This window comes from Homo sapiens, chromosome 3, assembly GCF_000001405.40.
Source record: "Homo sapiens chromosome 3, GRCh38.p14 Primary Assembly".
Lineage (NCBI taxonomy): Eukaryota > Metazoa > Chordata > Mammalia > Primates > Hominidae > Homo > Homo sapiens.
Window position 1 is genome coordinate 26,298,781 of NC_000003.12, and position 6,561 is coordinate 26,305,341.

The window sequence follows — 6,561 nt, forward strand, 5'->3', positions numbered from 1 at the left end:
GTTTACTGTCCCCTTGTAGTACATAGTGGTAATTTTTTTTTTAATTCTCAAACCCCGTCTCTGCAAAATAGACAGAGATAGCAAATTTATTTTTTTAAGTATTTATTTTACTGATAAAAAAACTTAGCAAATAAGAGGTTTAGCAATATGTTGACACCATAGAGTCAGGGGTTGTCTGAAATCCAGGTTTCCCCAACACCAAGTTATGGTTCTTTTCAGCTGGGGTGTGCTGTGGGTGTTGCATAGCTTTCTTCTTTGTGTTAGCTGTTGGTCCCATCCCCTGACGTCTGGAATTTATCATTGTTTTGAAATGGGAAAATGTTTGACTAGGTATTTTGGATAAGGTTCTAACAGAGTATCTGTCCCTTTGTGGGACCTGGTAGGGTTTAGGTTTTACCTTCGAACTTCAATGCTGTACGTTCACAAGGACTTGTCAGGCTCTGGGGAACACTATCGATATAGCCAAACTAATAGGAGATTGATTTGTGAAACTAGTGCCAAAGTGTTAATTGACAATTGTGTATATATAATTTAGATAACTAGAACATTCATGTGTCTTTTACTATGTACCACCTTTGGAAGTGAGCTTAGCAACTAAAAAGTTACTTGGTGAGCATAAAATTGGGAGAGACTCTAACTCTATGGAACAAATCATATCTGTTGTGATGCAGTTTGCAGAATATTTCCACTCTGCTGCAGAAAATCCTTTCTCAGCACTTAAAATGTTTATGCTTTTAATATTCATTGTTTTCCTTGCACAGGGATATTCCAAACAGTTATATAGCAAATATTAAGAACTCTACTATGTACCAGTGACTGTACAAGGCGTTGAGGATACAGTAGTAAATAACAGCCAAGTTTTAATCCTCAAGTAACTTACATTTTAGTGGACAATTGAAATCTTGTTAGTTTCCAGGTCTCCTTTTTTTAGTCATCAGAATCTTTTGTCCTCACATCCCTTTCCTGAATGATTTCCAGAATTATAGTTTGCCTTTAATTACCTGCATTTTAAAAATATCTTCTTGATGAAATTTTAGAAAGAGATTAATGTAAGAGATGACATATTTACAAACAATGCTTTTGATCTAGATTGCTTTGGTCACGACTAGATTGGCTTTTATTTCCCTATTTTATAATAATAGCTTTTTATTTTTATTTTTCCATGTGTAGACTGTTATTCAGTTTTAATAAAAAGAAGGCCTAAATGGAAAAAAAATTACAGCTAAACAAATAGTTGAATTACACTTACTCTTTAGCATTAGATGTAAACAAACCTATAGTAGATACATAACAAATTGGATGAATTTTAATTTGACAATAAGCTTCAAGCAATTTACTTGAAAGATATTTGAGGCCAATAGGCTAATTATATGTTGCCTGAAGTGGGGAATATTTCCTTCAGCTGACTTATTGATTTGTTGCCTTTTAACAAGAAATTATGCTGATCTAATTACAAAGAAGGGTTAAAAAAGCTAATAACTTCAAATCTGAGGTTCTCCATAATGGAACAGAATGATTAATGGTCTAACAGAAACAACCGCCCACGAACCTTTTGCCAGACACTTGAAATACCATGTCACTAATGGAGGAGCTTGAAATACTCTGAGTTATTTTTCTTTCTATATGAAAACAATGTTAAAATCTGCTAAATGGTAGAGTAATTGGACCCATGGTGTAAGCAATTACTTATGACCGGGTCTCTAAATGTTGTTTGCTTATAGTCTTTAGTATTACTCAGTTTTTAAAACAAAAATTCTGCTATGCTAAATATATTCATCAATGAATACTATAAAACCTTCTCCAAATACTCTATTTTTAAGTTAGTATGAGAATAATGAAGGAGAACATAATCAATGAATGACATCAGGAAACCTGGGAAGTCAAGGAAGGTCACCAGGTATTCACATAAATTTCCCTCCCCTCTCTCTCCAACAGGAATTATAAAAGAAATGTGCGGCCTATAGTTAGGACCATATACATAGGTATTAAGATTTTCATACAAAACAGTTGAAATGAGGAAAATCAAATAGCATGGGTACTATTTTGACACATAAAATTAGAGCAAGTTGGTGAAGGATGTTAGTGTGAACATTCTTTAGAATATTTTCCAGCCTAGTTCCAGCCCCAAATGTGGACTCACACTTCTTTGTCTTGGAGCAGAAAGAGCTGTGATTTTTGGTTGAGCTGGGGAGTTCTTGGACAGTGTTGAAGCACAGGGTTAAGATGGCTTTCCCGCTGCACCAGAGATTCCATTAATAGTACCGAGGTTGGGGTGGTACTATCAGTTCTTGGTGACTGTGGGAGTGGCTGGTAGCAGTGAACCAGGAACTTAGGAAGGCTGTAGAGAGCAGCCTGACTATCCGCTAAGAATTGAGAGTAAAACTGAGTCAAACTTGAGGCCTAAATATTTTGTTTTGAGGAAGAGAGTTCTATTTTACCTGTTTCAAATGAGAAGAAAATAAAAATAACTTATGATTTCACCAACCCTTCCCTAGAAATAATGACAATTAACTCCAAGGTATACAGAATTTTAAAAATGTTTCTTTCTTGCTAACTGGCTTATTTGCCCTCTAACTGGTTTATTTGCCCTTTTCCTTTAATCCACCCTGTTCCATTTTTAAAACTAAAGCTATATCATGAAATTCTTTCTAAATCATTACTTATTCTTTCACAATATAATTTTAAGTGGTTGCTTTTTTTTTTTTTTTTTTTTTTTTTTGACAGAGTCTTGCTCTGTCACCCAGACTGGAGTGCAATGGTGGGATCTCGGCTTACTGTAACCTCCACCTCCCGGGTTCAAGCAATTCTCCTGCCTCTGCCGCCCAAGTAGCTTGGATTACAGGCGCCTGCCACAACGCCCAGCTAATTTTTGTATTTTTGTAGAGACGGGATTTCACCATGTTGGTCAGGCTGGTCTTGAATCCCTGACCTCAAATAATCTGCCCGCCTCAGCCTCCCAAAGTGCTGGGATTACAGGCGTGAGCCACTGTGCCCGGCCAACTTTTTTTAATTTTAATTTTAGGTTCAGGGGTACATGTGAAATTTTGTTATATAGGTAAGCTCATGTCACGGGGGTTTGTTGTACAGATTATTTTATCACTTAGGTATTAAGCCTAGTTCCCAATAGTTATTTTTCCTGCTCCTTTCCCTCCTCTCACCCTCCGCCCTCTGGTAGATCCCAGTTTCTGTTGTTCCCTCCTTTCTGTTCATGAATTCTTATCATTTAGCTCCCACTTATAGGTGAGAATATGCAGTATTTGGTTTTCTGTTCCTGTCTTAGTTTGCTAAGGATAATGGCCTCCAGCTCCATCTAAGTTCCCACAAGAGACATAATCTTATTCTTTTTATGGCTGCATAGTATTCCATGGTGTACATGTACCACATTTTCTTTATCCAATCTCATTGATGGACATTTTGGTTGATTCCATGTCTCTGCTATAGTAGCATTTTGGTTGATTCCATGTCTCTGCTATCTTTATGGTAGAATGATTTATATTCCTCTGGGTATATACTCAGTAATGGAATTACTGGGTCAAATGGTGGTACTGCTTTTAACTCTTTGAGGTATCATCATACTGCCTTCCACAATGGTTGAACTAATTTATACTCCCACCAACAGCATGTAAGCATTCCTTTTTCATTGCAACTTTGCCAGTATCTGGTTTTTTTTGTTTTGTTTTGTTTTTTTTACTTTTTAGTAATAGTCATTCTGACTGGTGTGAGATGATATCTCATTGTGGTTTTGGTTTGTGTTTCTCCGATGATCATTCATACTGAACTTTTCTTTCATATGCTTGTTGGCCACATGTATGTCTTCTTTTGAAAATGTCTGTTCATATCATTTGCCCACTTTTTAATGGGGTTATTTTTCTCTTGTAAATATGTTTAAGTTCTTTATAGATGCTGAAATTTGACCTTTGTCAGATAGTTTGCAAATATTTTCTTTCATTCAGTAAGTTGTCTGTTTACTCTGTTGATAGCTTCTTTTGCTGTACTGAAGCTCTTAAGTTTAATTAGATTCCATTTGTCAAGTTTTGCTTTTGTTTTGATTGCTTTTGGTGTCTTTTTGAAATCTTTGCCCATTCCTATGCCCAGGATAGTATTGCCTAGGTTGTCTTCCAGGATTTGTATAGTGTTGGGTTTTACACTTAAGTTTTTAATCCATCTTGAGTTGATTTTTGCATATGGTATAAGGAAGGAGTCCAGTTTCAATCTCCTGCCTATGGCTAGCCAGTTATTCTAGCACCATTTATTGAATAGTGAGTCTTTCCCCATTGCTTATTTTTGTCAGCTTTGTCAAAGATCAGATGGTCATAGGTGTGGTACCTTATTTCTGGGCTATCAATGCTGTTCCATTGGTCCATGTGCCTGTTTTTGTACCAGTACCATGCTTTTTTTTCTTTTAATTATTACTTTAGCTCTGTAGTATAGTTTGAAGTTGGGTAACATGATACTTTCAACTTTGTTCGTTTTACTTAGGATTGCCTTGGCTGTTCAGGCTCCTTTTTAGCTCCATGCGAATTTTGAAATATTTTTTTCTAGTTCTATGAAGAATGTCTTTGGTAGTTTGATGGGAATAGCACTAAGTCTATAAATTGCTTGGGCAGTATATCCATTTAAATGATACTGAGTCTTTCTATCCATGAGCATGGCATATTTTTTCCATTTGTGTCTTCTCTGATTTCTTTGAGCAGTGTTTTATAATTCTCATTGTACAGATTGTTCACCCCCTTGGTGAGCTGTATTTCTAGGCATTATATTCTTTTTGTGGCAATTGTGAATGAGATTGTGTTTCTGAATTGGCTTTTGGCTCAACTGTTGTTGGTATGTAGGAATGCTAGTGAATTTCGTATGTGGATTTTATATCCTGAAACTTTGCTATAGTTGTTTATCAGCTGGAGGAGCTTTTGGGATGAGACTATGGGGTTTTATAAGTGTAGAACTTCTCTAAAGTTCCCAGGTCTCCATGTGTGCTTGAGCAGCTGCTCTGCTGAGACTCCACATAGCTCTCTGTGTCAGACTGAAGGCTCTGGTGGAGTGGGTTCATGAGGTGATCTCCTGACCTGAGGGTTACAAAGATCCATGGGAGAAAAGTGGGTTCCCAGGGTAGCACATTCACTCACTATTTCCTTGCTTGGGGGAGCTTCCCCTGGCTCCGTGTTGCTCCCTGATGGGCTTTCGTCCTGCCTTGCTATTCTCCATTCTCCAGGGGTCAAGTTGTTGTAAGTGGATAGGAATGCCTTATTTCTTATTTGTTTCTTGCTCTTCCAAGAGTGGTCCATGGACCAGCACTGATAGCATTTCCTGGGAGCTGGTTAGAAATACAGAGTTTCAGGACCTATCCCTGACTGTTGAATCAGAATTTGCATTAGGATATGCTAGTGATTCACATTCACATGAAAGCTTGAGAAGTACTGCTTTAGTTCATTACCGTTAATTGTCCTTTGATTACTCCTATAGGAGGTACTCCTCAACTTGTCTTCTCAATGGGATTACCAGGGGAGCATCCCAAAACACTGATGTTGTGCCACATCTCTAAGAAATTATGATTTAATTGAGCTGGGATGTGACTTGGGCACCAGAATCATTAAGTGATTTCCTAAGTGATGTGAATGTGCAACCAATTTTAGGAGCCACTGCCATGTACCTTCCATACTAGTTCTGTCCTGTTTGAAAAGTTTTCCTAGGTCTGTATCCTATACTATTTTGAGTTAGTTTTCTTGCCTACCAATTTCATTCTGTATGCCTCCTATTTTGAGGAAATTTCCATAAAATGCTATTTCATTAATGATATATTTTTAATTCCCCAATATTGTTATGTATTTAAATTTTAAGCTTCAGCACTTTCAAAGAGAAATACAATCCAGGTAGGATAGTTTTATAGATTGATATAATATTTACTTTCCTTCATTTTTCTTTTTAATGTTCTTTATTCTTCTTGGCATGGCCAAATTGCTTAAAATCTAACCTGGCTGCATCATTTATCAACCCTTGTTCTTGCCATTGGTTTGTCTTTTTTTTTTGAGACAGAGTTTCACTCTGTTGCCCAGGCTGGAGTGCAGTGAAGCGATCTTGGCTCACGGCAAGCTCCGCCTCCCAGGTTCACACCATTCTCCTGCCTCAGCCTCCCGAGTAGTTGGGACTACAGGTGCCCGCCACCATGCCCAGCTAATTTTTTGTATTTTTAGTAGAGGTGGGGTGGTCTGTCTTTTTGACAGTGTTGTGTCTATTGGTGTTCCTGAGGACTACAGTTATATCAGGGTTTCTTAGTAGTGACATTATTGACATTTTGAGCTGAATAATTCTTTTACATTGGTGGCTATCTTGTGTGTAATCAGATGTTTAGCATTATCGCTGGCCTTTACCCACTAAATGTCAGTAGCATTCCCCACCTTGCCTTTTACTGTACAGGTTGTGACAAAAGTGGTTCCATGTATTGCCAAAAATACCATAGGGGACATAATTCTGTCTAGGTTGAGAACCACTGAGCTATAGGGTTGTCAAGCATTGTCAATGGCTAATAAATACTGCAGCAAGTATATTTTTAAAATATTATTTCAC